The 15,188-nt window shown below is 51.5% G+C and overlaps 2 protein-coding genes across 21 annotated transcripts in view, besides 8 other annotated features; both read right to left on the bottom strand.

Moving 5' to 3' along the window:
• The window catches only part of HNRNPUL1 (heterogeneous nuclear ribonucleoprotein U like 1), a 45,231-nt gene extending 40,929 nt beyond the window's left edge, over positions 1-4,302 (bottom strand). For 4 of the 18 annotated variants that reach the window (NM_001439168.1, NM_007040.6, NM_001439167.1 and 1 more), the window contains exon 1: positions 2,061-2,487. In NM_001439168.1, the coding sequence (NP_001426097.1) occupies positions 2,061-2,355 (295 nt within the window). In that variant the 5' untranslated portion in view covers positions 2,356-2,487. The other 14 variants (NM_001439172.1, NM_144732.5, NM_001439179.1 and 11 more) reach the window with 8 other exon arrangements.
• Positions 1,962-2,011: a silencer, noted in NCBI's record as "silent region_10655". NCBI's record gives its function as "represses an Ori minimal core promoter by ATAC-STARR-seq in GM12878 lymphoblastoid cells {active_cell/tissue: GM12878}" and the evidence as "EXISTENCE:reporter gene assay evidence [ECO:0000049][PMID:35858748]".
• Positions 2,032-2,101: a silencer, noted in NCBI's record as "silent region_10654". NCBI's record gives its function as "represses an Ori minimal core promoter by ATAC-STARR-seq in GM12878 lymphoblastoid cells {active_cell/tissue: GM12878}" and the evidence as "EXISTENCE:reporter gene assay evidence [ECO:0000049][PMID:35858748]".
• Positions 2,192-2,431: a silencer, noted in NCBI's record as "silent region_10653". NCBI's record gives its function as "represses an Ori minimal core promoter by ATAC-STARR-seq in GM12878 lymphoblastoid cells {active_cell/tissue: GM12878}" and the evidence as "EXISTENCE:reporter gene assay evidence [ECO:0000049][PMID:35858748]".
• Positions 2,437-2,975: an enhancer, noted in NCBI's record as "NANOG-H3K27ac-H3K4me1 hESC enhancer chr19:41769789-41770327 (GRCh37/hg19 assembly coordinates)". NCBI's record gives its function as "activates a minimal SCP1, AML or CMV promoter by ChIP-STARR-seq in primed H9 embryonic stem cells {active_cell/tissue: H9 hESC(primed)}" and the evidence as "EXISTENCE:reporter gene assay evidence [ECO:0000049][PMID:30033119]".
• Positions 2,976-3,515: an enhancer, noted in NCBI's record as "NANOG-H3K27ac hESC enhancer chr19:41769249-41769788 (GRCh37/hg19 assembly coordinates)". NCBI's record gives its function as "activates a minimal SCP1, AML or CMV promoter by ChIP-STARR-seq in primed H9 embryonic stem cells {active_cell/tissue: H9 hESC(primed)}" and the evidence as "EXISTENCE:reporter gene assay evidence [ECO:0000049][PMID:30033119]".
• Positions 3,516-4,055: an enhancer, noted in NCBI's record as "H3K27ac hESC enhancer chr19:41768709-41769248 (GRCh37/hg19 assembly coordinates)". NCBI's record gives its function as "activates a minimal SCP1, AML or CMV promoter by ChIP-STARR-seq in primed H9 embryonic stem cells {active_cell/tissue: H9 hESC(primed)}" and the evidence as "EXISTENCE:reporter gene assay evidence [ECO:0000049][PMID:30033119]".
• Positions 4,412-4,501: an enhancer, noted in NCBI's record as "active region_14671". NCBI's record gives its function as "activates an Ori minimal core promoter by ATAC-STARR-seq in GM12878 lymphoblastoid cells {active_cell/tissue: GM12878}" and the evidence as "EXISTENCE:reporter gene assay evidence [ECO:0000049][PMID:35858748]".
• Positions 4,532-4,581: an enhancer, noted in NCBI's record as "active region_14670". NCBI's record gives its function as "activates an Ori minimal core promoter by ATAC-STARR-seq in GM12878 lymphoblastoid cells {active_cell/tissue: GM12878}" and the evidence as "EXISTENCE:reporter gene assay evidence [ECO:0000049][PMID:35858748]".
• Positions 5,093-15,188, bottom strand: part of AXL (AXL receptor tyrosine kinase) — a 42,544-nt gene continuing 32,448 nt past the window's right edge. For all 3 annotated transcript variants that reach the window (NM_021913.5, NM_001699.6, NM_001278599.2), the window contains 6 exons: positions 14,416-14,508; positions 13,892-14,013; positions 13,151-13,260; positions 10,248-10,407; positions 9,230-9,366; positions 5,093-7,306 (listed from right to left, as the gene is read on the bottom strand). In NM_021913.5, the coding sequence (NP_068713.2) occupies positions 6,955-7,306; positions 9,230-9,366; positions 10,248-10,407; positions 13,151-13,260; positions 13,892-14,013; positions 14,416-14,508 (974 nt within the window). In that variant the 3' untranslated portion in view covers positions 5,093-6,954. The remainder of the gene's footprint in view (positions 7,307-9,229; positions 9,367-10,247; positions 10,408-13,150; positions 13,261-13,891; positions 14,014-14,415; positions 14,509-15,188) is intronic.

Genomic DNA, 15,188 nt, shown 5'->3' with positions numbered 1-15,188 from the left:
ACCTGGGTCCTCGATAATCTCTAGGCCACTGCCTACCCCAAATCCACACTCCTCCCTCCGGGAAATTCTCTTATGAACAAGTATCCAATTCCAACCCCAAATCCTGTCTCTTCTGTTACCTCATTTCTCTCCTTATCCCCTTAGCCCCAAGTCCCAGGGTGCCCTCTTTTCAGAAAAACTCCACAAACTCTTACGCCAGAATCCCTTCTACTTACTCCTTAACCTTTCCAGTCCCCCCATTTCCCAGTCCTACTAGAAAGCTGCCCTGAGGCCTGGTGCAGTGATTCACGCCTGTAATCCCAGCACTTCAGGAGGCCGAGGTGAGATCACCTGAACCCAGGAGTTCAAGACCACCCTGGGCAACATAGCGAGACCCCCCATCTGTATTTAAAAAAAAGAGAAAGAAAGCTGCTTTTTTCTTTTTTGAGACGGAGTTTCACTTTTGTTGCCCAGGCTGGAGTGCAATGGCGTAATCTCGGCTGACTGCAACCTCCCCCTCCCAAGTTCAAGCGATTCTCCTGCCTCAGCCTCCCGAGTAGCTGGGACTACAGGCGCACACCACCAGATCCGGTTAATATTTGTATTTTTAGTAGAGACAGGGTTTCACTATGCTGGCCAGACTGGTCTTGAACTCCTGACCTCGTGATCCGCCCGCCTCGGCCTCCCAAAGTGCTGGAATAACAGGCGTGAGCCACTGCACTCGGCCCGAAAGCTGCTTTTTTTCTAACTGAAGATTCACGCCGTCCCATATCAGGTTTTCCTCTCCTCAGACAACCGCAGGTCTACCCGAACCCATTCCCAGAGTCACAGCTCCTGGCTGATGAAGAGTTCCGTGCTGCTCCCCGAGGGCCCCCACTCCCTGGGTACACAAATAACTGCTTCTGGGAACCGTCGAGATTTCTCCTGGAGACGCTCAGGTCCAGAAACATTCCCCACACTCCACTCTGAGGCCTCCAGTGAAGTCAACAGGTTTCTTTCTCTTTGCTCCCTACGGCCTCCCCCCTCCCCATATTCGCTAAGCCAGATACGTACTCCTGTGCTGGACACAGGATCCTCTGTCTCCCGCCACATATTTCATCCACTTGGAATGTTACCAACTCATCTGCCCCCATCCCACCCCCAGCTACCCTCTGTTCTCCAAAAACCCCACAGTTAGCTCCAGACCAGTCAGCAGCAGCCTCAAGAGTTATTTGCCCTCAGTTTTCTTAGCTCTAGACCCCCAGATCCTTTGTCCAGGAAAGCATCCTCTCCCCCGCCAGCCTCTGGACACCAGGGCTCCCTATACCTCTTCTAGAAGCCAACCAGAAAGTCCCCAGATCTCCCAGCACCTAATGTCCAGGCTGTGCCTGCTTCAAGGGTGGCCTTCCAGCCCCGGAAGAGAGATGGGGGTGCCCCCTAGTTCAATCTCCCGCAGCCCCTAAATGCTCACTAGCCAAACTCCAAAGCACTGAGTCCATTAGGACCCTCCCCAGCCACAGACACCAGCGCCTCCACCTCTCCCACCCACCCCCGTACCCAAATAGGAGAACGCCCAGGATCGCATCCAGCGGCATATTCCAGGATCCTCCTTCCTCAGAACTCTCGCAGCCCCGCACACCTGGACATTCCTTCCCCACCCTGGAAACACGGCTCCCCACCCCCCAGCCCACACGCTGGGCTAGCACGACCGCCAAGCCCACGGAGCTCCGTACCCTAGGATCCCCATTTTCGAGACCCTCCCCAACCCAAACGGAAAACCTCTTGTTCTTCCGACTCTCTTCGGCTCCAGAAAGCAGTTTCCGGTCTCCGATCCCTACGGTACGGAATCCTCCCCGCCACCCCCGTCCCTCACCTCCGAAACCCAGAGGCCCCTCCCCCAGTGTCCCCCCTGCACTGAGTGTCAGGATCCACCCTCCGGTCGTGCTGGGGCCCTGGTCCCCAGATCCTTTTCGGCGGCGGGTAGCGGGATCCCCCGATCCTCAGGTCGTCTCCCCGACCTCAGGCGCTGGACTCCCGCGTCCCACAGCCCTTTCCTCGGCCCAGGCTCCGGGCTCCCCGGCCCCCGCCCCGCGCACTCTCACAATGTCCGTCCGGCCCCGAGTAGCCGCCGGGCTCCGCGTGCGGCTGCAGCCCGGGCGGCGGTGGCTGCGCGGTCCCCTCCAGCTCGGAGCCCCCCTCGGTCTCGACCTCCTCGTTGATGTGCCCGGGTCGCCCCGGTTCGTCGTCGGCGTCGAGCTCCCGCTCGTCGTCAGGCTCCTCGGCCTCCAACGCCGCCTGCAGCCGCTCAGCAAGCTCGGCCTTGAGGCCTCGAGTGTCCAGGCCGCGGCGCTGCAGCTCCTCGCGAAGTTCGTTCACCTTCAGACGGCGCACATCCATGGCCCGGGCCCCCGGGGTGGCCCCCGAGCCCGGCCCGGCCTCCCAGGGCTCTGTCCCCCTTAAACCTTTCCTGTCAGGAGGCGAAGGGGGAAAGGGGGGGGGCCCACTCCAATGGCGGCAGCGGCTCAAAATGGCCGCCGCCACCGCCTCCCCCCTCACTCGTGCCTCGTCCGATGTTACATGAGTGCCAATTGGTCAGTGCGTGGGGCAACGGGCGCGGGCCCGGAAACCTAGCCAATCAGAGCGCCGTTTTCAAAACAACGGCCACGAGAAGGCCTAGGAGCTACTGGGGAGGAAGCGTTGGCCTACGTCGAAGCCGAGGCCGGAGCGGAGGGCGGGAAAAGGCAGGAGGCGGAGCGCTTGCTGATTGGGTAACTCTCGCGCGCCGGCTGCCGTAAGGTCCAATGAAAATAAGGGAGTAACAATTTGGTCCAATCAACGGTAAGATCTCAGAATGAGTGTCCCACGGCCTTTCCTGCGCAGTCCTTTCATCAAACTAAGTGTCTCTGTAACACACATTCCGATTGGTGTACATCTCCCGCCCCTTGAGGAGTCCGAGCGGGTAAAACCACTAGAACCAATCAAATGGAGGGTCGGCAGAAACCCCTCCTTCCTGTTGCCTTTAAGAAACCGGAAAGAGATGAATTCACCAGGAGCCCGCCCCTTGCCGTTAGGGCGGTTTCAAAACAATCTGCCCACCAATCGCAGTTATTGTCTTAGCTCACTAAAGCTGGTAGCGATGGCTCATTTTAGGAAAAGTTCACCAGATTGGCCGTGCTTCAGAGGACTGCCTCACAAATTTCGCTGTAGGAGGAGGTATACGAAATAGAGATTAAGTGGATACACAGTTCGTAATCTGGAAGGAACCCAGTTGCCTTTAGGAAAAGCAAAATTTTGAGTTGAGAGAGTCCCGAAGGTTTGGCTATAGAAACTAGACTAACAACGGGAGGCAAGTTGTAAAGGACACGGCCTCCCCTTCCCTTGGGTAGTCCGCGGCCGCCTTGCTCTATGGTCGGGTACCTGACGTGGAACGGGCGCTCTGCACGCGACCATAGAGCCTTCCCCTCCCGAAAGACATCCAGAAGTTCACCGACCGCTCTCCCGAATCCTCTAATCGGCTGTTCCCGTAAATCGGGCTGTCTGGCGTCTGTACCGACAAGCTCAACCCCACGGATCCGTCATTAACCTTCGCGCTCAGGAATACAAAAGCCACAGAGCTTCCCAGTGTCTAACGCTGCACCACCTGTCGCCTCTAACTCAAAACAAAACTCGAGTAAGACGCAATCGGGATACATGATGCAGACTCCCACTGCCTCCTGAGCCACACGTTAAGCCCGCAAAAGCCACACACTATCTCTACTCAGACAAAGGCACACCCCGCAGTCGTAAACAAACAGGCGTGCGTCAGATCAGACGCATCCAGTTCTTTTTTTTGTTGTTCTTTTTTTTTTTTTTTTTTTTTTGAGACGGAGTCTCGCTCTTGTTACCCTGGCTGGAGTGCAGGGCCTCTATCTCAGCTCACCGCAACCTCCGCCTCCCGTGTTCAAGCGATTCTCCTGCCTCAGCCTTCCGAGTAGCTGGGATTACAGGTCCCCGCCACCATGCCCGACTAATTTTTGTATTTTTAGTAGAGACGGGGTTTCACCATGTTGGCCAGGCTGGTCTCGAACTCCTGACCTCAAGTGATCCGCCCGCCTCGGCCTCCCAAAGTGCTGGGATTACAGGCGTGAGCCACCGCGCCCGGCCCCAATTCCGATCTGCTTTGGGTAAGGCACCCCGCTGCAGTGTAGATGTGCCCACTACGGTCCGCAGAGGCAGGCGGCATCGAATAATAAAGATAACACAGGATAGTTGCACTACAAGCGAACACTACAGCAACCCAAACACACAGCACCCACTCAGCAGCGGGACAGACACTCACGTGGGCCCAGAGGTTCCAGTCCAGACACCCCGCCCCTCGCCCACGTCCGACTTCCTCTCTCTCTCTCTCCTCCCAGCTTCCCACAATGATTTGTTCTAAAAAAGTTTGTGGCCCGGATTGAACTGTCCCCGGTTCTCAGGAGCCGCCACTGGAGGGCGTCCGGGCGCTGCCAAGGGTTTCTCCATTTGCTGCCGGCCACACCCGCGAACGCCCGCTCGCGAGTGCGTGCCAGACACGGTGGGCTGGTCTTCGCTGGAGGCCCTTTGTGGGTCCGTGATGATCGGAGGTGTTCTGTGCCTGTGTTTCTATGTCAGTCTGAACGTTCGGGGTTGTGAGTACCTGTTGTACTCTACATGTCTCTTGAGTATTTGTGTCACTTGACTCTAGGTCTGTGTCTCTTCCTATTCGTGGCGGGTATCTGCCTGAGCATGTTTGTAAATATGCTTGTGTCTGTGTAATTCTGTGTGTCTGTGTTACTCTATGCGTCTGAGTTTCAGTCTCTGTATTTGTGACCAGGTCCTCCTGGGTGTGTCCATTAATTCATGTGTCTGTTAGTTTGCGGCGGAACAGGTGTGTGTGTGTGTGTGTGTGTCTGTGATCCTGGATCTGTATGCCAGTTCCTCACTGGGGGTTTCTGAGAACCTGCATCTCTTTGCTTGTATGTCTTTTTGTCTATCTGTGTGTTCATTTCTACCCTCTCTAGTGAGGACAGAATTCCAAGACCCTACCAAGCCCTTCTTTTTTCTGATGGGGGAACTGAATTGCCAGGGAATGGGGCCACATCACAGCTAAAAGGAGACAAGAGGAGACAGAAGCTCGTTGATATACAAAGTTTTATGTGACCTGAGCCCCTCTGGAGGCACCAGAGTCCACACTCTGTACTCAGAAGGTGAGGGATTGGCTCACGGGGGCAACATGGCCCGAAAGGTGGGAGATCGTCCATCCCCTGCGGGAAAGGAGGCATCCCTAATGCATTGCACAGGCTTGAAGGGGGCACACCCCCACAGTTGGGGAGGAGGAAGCAATGATAGCTAAGAAGGAGAGGGGCACCCCAAAGAATACTACAGTATAGGGTTAGAACCTTGAAATTGCACCTAATAGTCTAGACCTGTGGACCTTTAGAATCTTAGAAACTTAGAACATTTGAGTCTTAGAACTACAGTGCCTAGAACTATAAGATTTTAGAAATGTGGATTCTTGGACTCTTAACCATGGTCCTAGAGAGGCAGAATGCAGCAAAGAACCTAAAGGTGTCCAACATTAGAAATTATTAGAACTTTGGTGTCTAGTTAGTCACAACTGAGTGTGAGAGTCTTATAACTTAGATGCTTAGGATCCGGAATCTTGGACCAATGGAATCTAGAGTGCCTTGAAACAGAACAGACCGTTAGAATCTTATTTAATCATCTAGAATCTTGGAGCATCTGATCTAGAATCTTAGACACAGAGAATCTAAGATCTTAGAGTAAGTCTTAGAATATCACATCTTAGAACACCGGACCTTAGAAACTCCATCTTTAGACTCTTGGAACTTTTGAATTGCAGATTCTAGAGCTTTCGACCCTTAGGATCTAGGATCTTATACAAGAGAATCTATTATCATAAAGCCTCAGAAACTATAATTGATCATCATTAGAATCTTAGAACTTGAGAAGATAACATTTTGAAGCCTTATGATCTAGAGCCTTACAGCCAGAGAATCTAGACTCTCAGAGCCTTAGAACATCACATTTTAGAATCCTAGGCCTTAGAACCTCCATGTCTAGAACTATAGAATCTTTAGAATCTATAATCTTACATTTTAAGGACTCTGAACTCTAGAAGAATAAACATCTAGACTCATAGAGCCTTAGCTCCTAAAATCAGAATCTTAGAACTTTAGAACCTAAAACCTTGAGGCTTTATCAAAAATGTTAGAACCAGAAAATCTAAAACCACATAATGTCAGAGCTTTAGAACAGTAGGTCTTAAGGTTGAGTGCAGTGGCTCATGCCTGTAATCTCAGCACTTTGGGAGGCTGAGGTGGGCAGATCACTTGAGGTCAGGAGTTTTAGACCAGCCTGGCCAACATGGTGAAACCCTGTCTCTACTAAAAATATAAAAATTAGCCGGGTGTGGTGGCACACACCTGTAATCCCAGCTACTTGGGAGGCCAAGGCAGGAAAATCACTTGAACTCGGTAGGTGAAGGTTGCAGTGAGGCGAGATTGCACCACTGCACTCCAGCCTGGGTGACACAGTGAGACTCTATCGCAAAAAAAAAAAAAAAAAAAAAAAAAAAAAAAGTAGGCCTTAGAACCTTAGCACTTTAATAGAATTAGAGACTTTGGAATTTCAGGTCCTTAGAACCAAAGACTCACAGCATCTTTGAAACCTAGAACCTTTGAATCTAGACTCTTTAAACCTTGGACTCTAGAGTCTTGGAATGTTAACACCTGGGAGGGCTTCAGATATTGCAATCCAACCCCTTCCTTTTACAGATGGTGATGCTACTGCTTTCAAGGTGATGCTACTGCACAGAGAAGGGGAGGGACCTGTCTGGGATGGAGGTGGGATAGGTAGGAAGACAGGGCTGCAAGTGGGGATAAGGCGTGGGGTGGGAAAGTGGGAAGGTGGAGTTTTCCCCAGTGGCAGTGCTTAGCTTGGATCCTGAGAGGGAGTACCAGGTGGAGGGTTGTCTCAGGCACCATCCTCCTGCCCTGGGGCTGCTGGGGAGCCCCTATCAGCAGGCTGAGCGGGGCTAGGGGTTGTGGAAGGGCAGAGGACATAGCGTCCAGCAGGATGGACCTCAGCCGCAGTGAGGCAGCTACAGGAATCCTTAGGGTCTGGCTGGGTTGGGGGGTCAGCTCCTCCTGCAGCTCCAGGGGGTTCAGGATAACCTCCACCCTCATCCATGTTGACATAGAGGATTTCGTCAGGCTCCTGGGCAGGAGGCAAGGCCTTCAGTGTGTTCTCCAAATCTTCCCGCAGCTCTGTAAAACTTGGCCGGTCCTGGGGATTTAGCTCCCAGCACCGCGACATCAAGGCATACCTAGGGCAGCAAAATGAGGGGTGGGAGATTGAGCAGGGACTCAGAAGGGGTGCATTCTGGAAGCCTGGGGACATTTTAGGACACTCAGGGGACTGGGGGCATTTTAGAGGGTTATAGGGAGCCTCAGCAGTTTGAGGCCATCTATGGGGATTTGGGAATTCCCAAGAATTTCTGAGTTGGGTCCTGGGAGACTCAGGAGCTGGGAAGGGTCTCGGGAAACCTGTCTGTATATGGAGTAGTATTCTGATGAGGGTTTGCTAGAACAGACCTTCCAGCTCCCCAGAACAGACTTGCATCAAAGCCTGGCTATGCCACTTACAAGCTGTGCTGGTTTAAAATAGGTCCATAAATTCTTTGACCCTCCTCCCTGCAAAAGACGGAGAATAAATCCTCTCCTCTTGAGCATGGGCAGGACTTAGTGACTTGCTTCTGATTTGGCAGAAGTGATGGTGTGTGTGACTTCTGAGACTAGGTCATAAAAGGCATGTGGCTTCCTCGCACTTTCTCCTGGGTTGCCATGTTGTGAGTAAGCTCAAGCAGTGCCACAAAGGGGTCCACATGGCAACGAACTGAAGCCTCCTGCTACAGCCATGTGAGTAAGCCACCTTGAAAGCAATCCTCCAGTCCCAACCTTCAGATGACTGCAGCCCCCAGTGATATCTTTGTAACTTCATTAGAGATCCTGAACCAAAATCACCCTGCTAAGCTGTTCCCAGTATCCAACTTTCAGAAATTGTGTGAGATAATAAACGTTTGTTGTTTTAAACTACTTGATTTGGGGATATAGATAACAAACACACCAGCTGTGCAATCTTTGGCAAATAAATCACCCTCCCAGACTGGGCGTGGAGGCTCATGCCTATAATCCCAGCACTTTGGGAGGCTGGGACGGGTGGATCATGAGGTCACGATATCAAGACCATCCTGGCTAAGGTGGTGAAACCCCATCTCTACTAAAAATACAAAAAAAATTAGCTGGGCATGGTGGCACACGCCTGTAGTCCCAGCTACTTGGGAGGCTGAGGCAAGAGAATCGCTAGAACCTGGGAGGTTGCAGTGAGCCGAGATGGAGCCATTGTGCTCCAGCCTGGGCGACAGAGCGAGACTCAAGTCAATAAATAAAAATAAATTACCCTCCCTGTAGGACTGGGTTTTCTTATCTGCAGAATGGGAATCATAATGATACCTATCTACATCACATGGCTGTGGTAAGGACCAAATGATTTGACACATGCCAGGCACCTAAAACAGTGCCTTCTAGTCAGTTATATGAAAATGTTAGCTGTTATTTTTACTCGTCTCAGCTCTTGGAGTACCCAAGGTGGACTGAGGAGTCTGACGCCCCAGGCTGTCTCCTCCTGACCCAAAGTCATCCTCTCTTTACCCTCAAAGTGCTAGCTAAATGTCACGGCCTTCTCCGCATACTCCAATATTGCAAAGTTTGGTAAGCATTCCCTGAAGGATCCTGCAAATATCTCAGAGGAGACCTGAGTCTGGAGAAGGCCAATAAAACAAACTGAAGGGTTTTGCAGAGAGTCTCAGGTGTTGAGGAGCATGTCGGGGAAGCATGGTGTGCTCAGGAGTCTGGAATGAGAAGTCTCTGGGAGTGCATGTCCCAAAGGCAGGGCCGCCAGGTAAGACTGTGCTGTTATTCACTACCCAAGGATACCTGGCTTGGGGGTGGGGAGCCAGGGGGCTGATTCAGCCCACACAGACAAAGGAGGAAAGGGTGCCTTTAGCTGATTTGCACCCCACTGGTTAGTGATGGCCCTACTCAGAGCATTGGTGAGGGGCAAGTGGGTCACTCAGCATTCTCAGGGATTCTGTCTGGGTTATAGAGAGTCCTGGACCTGTGAGGGCCATCTGGGGGTAGTCAGGGGTTTGGAATGAATTCTGGGTTGGGGGAGACCTAAGGGTCCTCACAGTCCATCCAGACAGTCCGCAGGCTGCTTCAGGCGATTTCCCTGGCGCAGATAGTCATAAATCTCGCTGTTCTCCACGCCCGGATATGGGGTTTGGCCTCTTGTGGCAATCTCCCACATTGTCACCCCGAAGGACCACTGTGAGGGGCAGAGGGAATTAGACAGTCTCTCCTGCACAGAATCACCCGCACCAATACCCAGGTTCATGGGTACACCCACACTTATGTACACATGTTCACAACCATCCTCTGGGAGCATCACAAGTATTCATAGAAACATAATACTTTAGCCGGGTGCGGTGGCTGATGCCTGTAATCCCAGCACTTTGGGAGGCTGAGGTGGGCGGACTGCCTGAGGTCAGGAGTTTGAGACCAGCCTGGCCAATATAGTGAAACCCCGTCTCTACTAAAAATACAAAAATTAGCTAGGCATGGTGGTGGGCGCCTGTAATCCCAGCTACTCGGGAGACTGAGGCAGGAGAATTGCTTGAACCCGGGAGGCAGAGTCTGCAGTGAGCTGAGATCATGCCATTGCACTGCAGCCTGGGTGACAGTGCGAGACTCCATCTCAAAAAAAGAAAAATATATATATATAAAAAATACTTGACACGGGTATACACATGAATAAGTAACTTTTGTGGATGCATACACATGCTCACCATCACACACATATACACACTTCATGGACACATGAGCTCATGTGCCACTCTGCACACCCTGGCTGTCCACATTCTATGAGTGTGCGCACATGCACGCATAATCACTGCAGCTTCTTCTAACCTAAACTGTCTACATTGCTACCATGCACACGTGGGCCTGTATTTATCCTGGGCATGTACACACCACTATTCAGAGATGCCCACCATACCCCAAGACATGCCCAGCCCATGTGGACAAGCCCCTGCAAAGGGAAGCCCACATGTCCCTGTGACCCTTGCATCCACAGCCACCCAGGCATAGTGTGTGATGGTCAGGCCATGCCCTCCCATGGTTCCCCACTCTTGGCGGGAGTGCACCTACCACATCGCTCTTGCTGGTGTAGACACGGTCAGCTAGACTCTCAATGGCAATCCACTTGACTGGCATCTTGGCGATACGTCCCTGGCGGTAGTAGTCCCCATTGTAGATCTTCTTGGAGAGCCCGAAGTCCGCCACACACACGGACATGTTCTCATTCAGCCTGTTTGGATTGGGGAAAGGAACAGGGTCAGGGCATCAGTCACCTCCACCAGGAAGCCTGCCCTGGCTCTCAGACACATCTGCACCTCCTCCCCTCACTGTCCTGGCTGCGGGTGGGGATCTGTCTCCTAAACCTTCATCCCAGTCCAGAAGGGAACTGCTTTACTTCTTGTTCACTCTGTCAAGTGAGGATGGGACAAAGGGCTTCCTCAGGACTTCCCAATTTTGGCTCTTTGCTAGATTCTAAGGTCCTTCCTTGGGTTTGATTCCTTGATGAAATTTTTTTTTCTTGAAGTATACTGTACATATGGAAATGTGCACAAGTCATAAGTAAGCAGCTCACTGAATTTTCACACACACACACACACACACCCATGTAACCAGCACCCAGATTAAGAAACAGAACATGGCTGGGCATGGTGGCTGGCGCCTGTAATCCCAGCACTCTGGGAGGCCAAGGCAGGTGGATCACTTGAGGTCAGGAGTTTGAGACCAGCCTGGCCAATGTGGTGAAACTCTGTCTCTACTAAAAGTACAAAAATTAGCCAGGTGTGTTGGTGCACATCTGAAATCCCAGCTACCTGGGAGGCTGAAGCAAGAGAATCAGTTGAACCCAGTAGGCGGAGGTTGCAGTGAGCTGAGATCACGCCACTGCACTCCAGCCTGGGCAACAGAGTGAGTGAGACTCCGTCTCAAAAACAAACAAAAAAAAAAACAGGCACAGTGGCTCAAGCCTGTAATTTCAGCACCTTGGGAGGCCAAGGTGGGAGGATCACTTGAGGCTAGGAGTTCAAGACCAGCCTGGAAAACAAAGCAAGACCCTGTCTCTACAAAAAAATTTAAAAATTAGCTGGACATGGTGGCACATGTCTGTAGTTCCAGCTACTTAGGAGGCTGAGGCAGAAGGATAGCTTGAGCCAGGAGTTGGAGGCTACAGTGAGCTATGATCATGCCACTGCACCCCACCCTAAAGGACAGAGTAAGACTCTGTCAAAACAAAAAAGAAAAGAAAGAAAAAAAGGGAAAGAAAGGGAAAGAGAGAGGGAGGGAGGGAAGGAAGGAAGGAAGGAGATAAAGAGAGAGAAAGAGAAAGAAAAGAAAGAAGAAAGGACAGAGAGAAAAAGAAAGAAAAGAAAGAAAAAGAAAGAAAGAGAAAAAAAGAAAAGAAAATCCACAGGACATTCATATGATGGAATACCATACCACACAGCAAAGAAAAAGAGCAAACTACCCCTACACAGATCCATCTCAAAAACATCATGCTGAGCCATAGAAGCCAGACACAAAGCAGTACAAACTGCATGATCCCATTTGTATGACTTTTCAGAACAGGCTAAACTAGCACTGAGAAGTCAGGATAGTGGGTACCACTTGGCGGTAGTGATTGGGAAGACGAAGAGGCATGAAGGAGCCTGCTGGGGCTAAGAAATATTCTTTACCTTCATCTAGTGGTTACATGGGTCTATACCCATAAAAATTCATCGAGCTGAGCTGCATGTGTATATTTTAGTGTATGTAAAATATACATCAATTTTTTTTTAGATGGGATCTTGCCCTGTTGCCCAGGCAGTAGTGAAGTGATACCATCATGGCTGACTTCAGCCTCAACCTCCTGGGCTCTAGCAATCCTTCCACCTCAGCCTCCCAAGTAGCTGGAACCACAGGTATACACCACCATGCCCAGCTAATTTATTTTTTGTAAAGACAGGATTCACTATGTTGCCCAGGCTGGTCTTGAACTCCTGGGTACAAGTGATCCTCCTGCCTCAGCCTCCCAAAGGGCTGGGATTATAGATGTGAGCCACTGCGCCTGGCCAAGACTAATATTCTAACTCTGTGGTTCCATTCCCTCCACCTTCTACCCTCCCCTTACCCTCTATTCTGGCTTTTGGGGGATTTTTTGTTCTTTCTTTTCTTTTTTTCTTTTTTTTTGAGATGGTGTCTCGTTGTTGTTACCCAGGCTGGTCTCGAGGCTCAAGCAATCCTCTCACCTAAGCCTTGGGAATGGCTGGGACTACAGGTTACTATTTTCTTTTTTCTTTCTTTCTTTCTTTCTTTCTTTTTTTTTTTTTTTTTGAGACAGAGTCTTGCTCTGTCGCCCAGGCTGGAGTGCAGTGATGCGATCTCGGCTCATTGCAACCTCCGCCTCCTGGGTTCAAGCAATTCTCGTGTTGGGATTACAGGCGCACACCACCGCACCAGGCTGAATTTTGTACTTTTAGTAGACAGGGGGTTTCACCAAGGCTGGTCTCGAACTCCTGGCCTCAAGTGATCCACCCGCCTCGGACTCCCAAAGTGCTGGGATTACAGGCGTGAGCCACTGCACCCCATCTGGCATATTTTCTGCTTGTCCATTGGTGGGGAGTTTGATTTTCTTATCCAGTGTGGCCGCTTCCAAAGGGCAGCCCCAGGCAAGACACCCAGCATGGAGTGGGACAGAGATGCAGCTCACGTGTCCCCACCCCCATCGGTCACCTCAGCCCCTTTGCTCACCTCATGCTGTGCACTGAGCCCACCTTCTGGTCTCTTCCCTCTCCGCATCCAAATGCTCCTTCCAGATCTCAGTTCAGGACTCACCTCCTCCAGGAAGCCTTCCCAGACCCCCTTACTGACTTTCCTGGTCCTGAGTTCTGACCTGCCCTCAGCGGGTGTCTAGCCCTGCTTCCATCCTAAGAAGGAGGGAGGGAACTCCCTCAGGGAGTGCAGGAGCAGTTGGGGGGGGGGGGTCCCTGAAAGGCACTCACATGCAGTTCCTGGCCGCCAGGTCCCGGTGTATGAATCTCTTGGTACTCAGATACTCCATGCCACTGGCGATGTCTGCCATGAACTTCACTAGCATCTGAGTGGGCAGGTACTGGGGAGCCAAGGCAGGTGGGAGGAGAGGTCAACAGAGTCCTTGATGCGATCCCTCCTCCCTCCATCCCTCTGTGCAAGCCTAGCTCTGCCCGCAGTGGTTTCCCATGGCCCTGACAATTCAACCCAACCCCTCTCCATGGCCTGCAAGGTCCTATAAACTTGCTCCAGCCTTCCTCTTGGACTTGATTGCCTATGTTCTTGCCCTTGACTGACACTCCCACCAGACTCCTGTCTGGTCTTCAGACAAACGATGATCATTCCCACCTCCGAGCCTTTGCCTATGCTGTGCGCTCTGTTGGGGTCGCTTCCTGCCCAGATCTCCAGACATCTCCCCAGCCCCAACTCCTTCACGGTCACCTCCTCGGCAAGATCTTCCACGTCCACCCAAATTCACTGCCTGGCCTCCTTATCTTCCATCCTACTGTATTTCCTTCCTAGCACTTAAACATTTAAATCATCTCGCTTAGGTATTTATTAGCTTGTTTATCATCCGCCCCTCCCCTGCTGGAAGAAATGCTCCAGGAGAGCAAGCTCCTGGTCACCGTGGTCTTCCCAGGGTCTGAGCAGCACTGGGTACCTGATAGATGCTCAGTTAATATTTGTAGACTGAATGATTAAACGCCCCTTACCACTGGCTGGTCCCCGAGCCGGGAATAGAGGAGGAAGCTGTGTAGGTCTCCATGTTTCATGAAAGGTAAGATGACCACAGGTGCTGGGAAGCTCTCTCGTTCAGAACCCTGGAAACAGACACCTGAGCCCCCCAGGTAGCCCTGTCACTCCTGCTGGGCAGAAGGGGAAGCCAAGCCCCCCACCAGCCAGCCTCCAGCCTCTCCTTCTCACTACCCATCCAATCTGGCCACCATATTGTTTGGGGGTAGTGGCAGTGGCAAGGACCAAGCTGCAGAGAAGCTGTTTCCAGCAGAGTTCCCAGGGACGTTTCCGGAGCCCTCCTGGGGACCTCAGCTATTTCTGGGAATGATCAGAGGTCACATTCCAAGCTGAGGGAGACTAGGAGGGGGAAGCCTGCTGACCCTGAAGGAGCGGGGAGCAGGAAGCCTGGAAGTTTGATCTTCCCAGGGCCAGAAGCAGGGCTCTTCCCTCTGCTATGGCCCCCATGGGGCTTGTAGACCCCTTGAATCTGCCCCTCTCTCACCGATGAGCCTCATGACGTTGGGATGGTCAAATTCCTTCATGCAGACCGCTTCACTCAGGAAATCCTCCAGCTCTGACCTCGTGCAGATGGCAACTTGAGGGAGAGAGAAAGGTCGTGAGGAGGAGGGGAGGAGAGGGAGGACTCTCCCTCCACCTCCACTCCATCATCATCATCATCATCATCATCACTCATCTTCATCAAACATGATTAGTAAGTACCAGGCACCATACTCAGCACTTTATATGTGATATGTGTATGTGTGTGTGTCTGTGTGTGTGTATATAATATATATATATATATAAAATATATATTTTCTTTTTTTTTTTTTTTTTAGATGGAGTCTCACTCTGTTGTCCAGGCTGGAGTGCAGTGGTTTGATCTCGGGTCACTGCAACCTCCGCCTCTCGGGTTCAAGCAATTCTCCTGCCTCAGCCTCCTGAGTAGCTGGGACTACAGGCGTGTGCCACCACACCCGGCTAATTTTTTGTATTTTTAGTAGAGACGGGGTTTCACCTTGTTAGCCAGGATGGTTTCGATCTCCTGACCTCACGATCTGCCCGCCTCGGCCTCCCAAAGTGCTAGGATTACAGGCGTCAGCCACTGCGCTTGGCCAACTTTATATATATTAACTCATTTAATCTTCTCAGGTGCTACTATTATCATTCCCATTTTATTGGTTTTTTGTTTTGTTTTGTTTTGTTTTTGTTTTTGTTTTTTATTTTTATTTTTTGAGACAGGGTCTTGCGCTGTCACCCAGGATGGATGCAATCACA

The sequence above is a fragment of the Homo sapiens genome, chromosome 19 (genome assembly GCF_000001405.40).
Source record: "Homo sapiens chromosome 19, GRCh38.p14 Primary Assembly".
Classification (NCBI taxonomy): domain Eukaryota; kingdom Metazoa; phylum Chordata; class Mammalia; order Primates; family Hominidae; genus Homo; species Homo sapiens.
The sequence above is the reverse complement of the archived record's forward strand: the minus strand, read 5'-3'. Positions and strand labels throughout refer to the sequence as shown.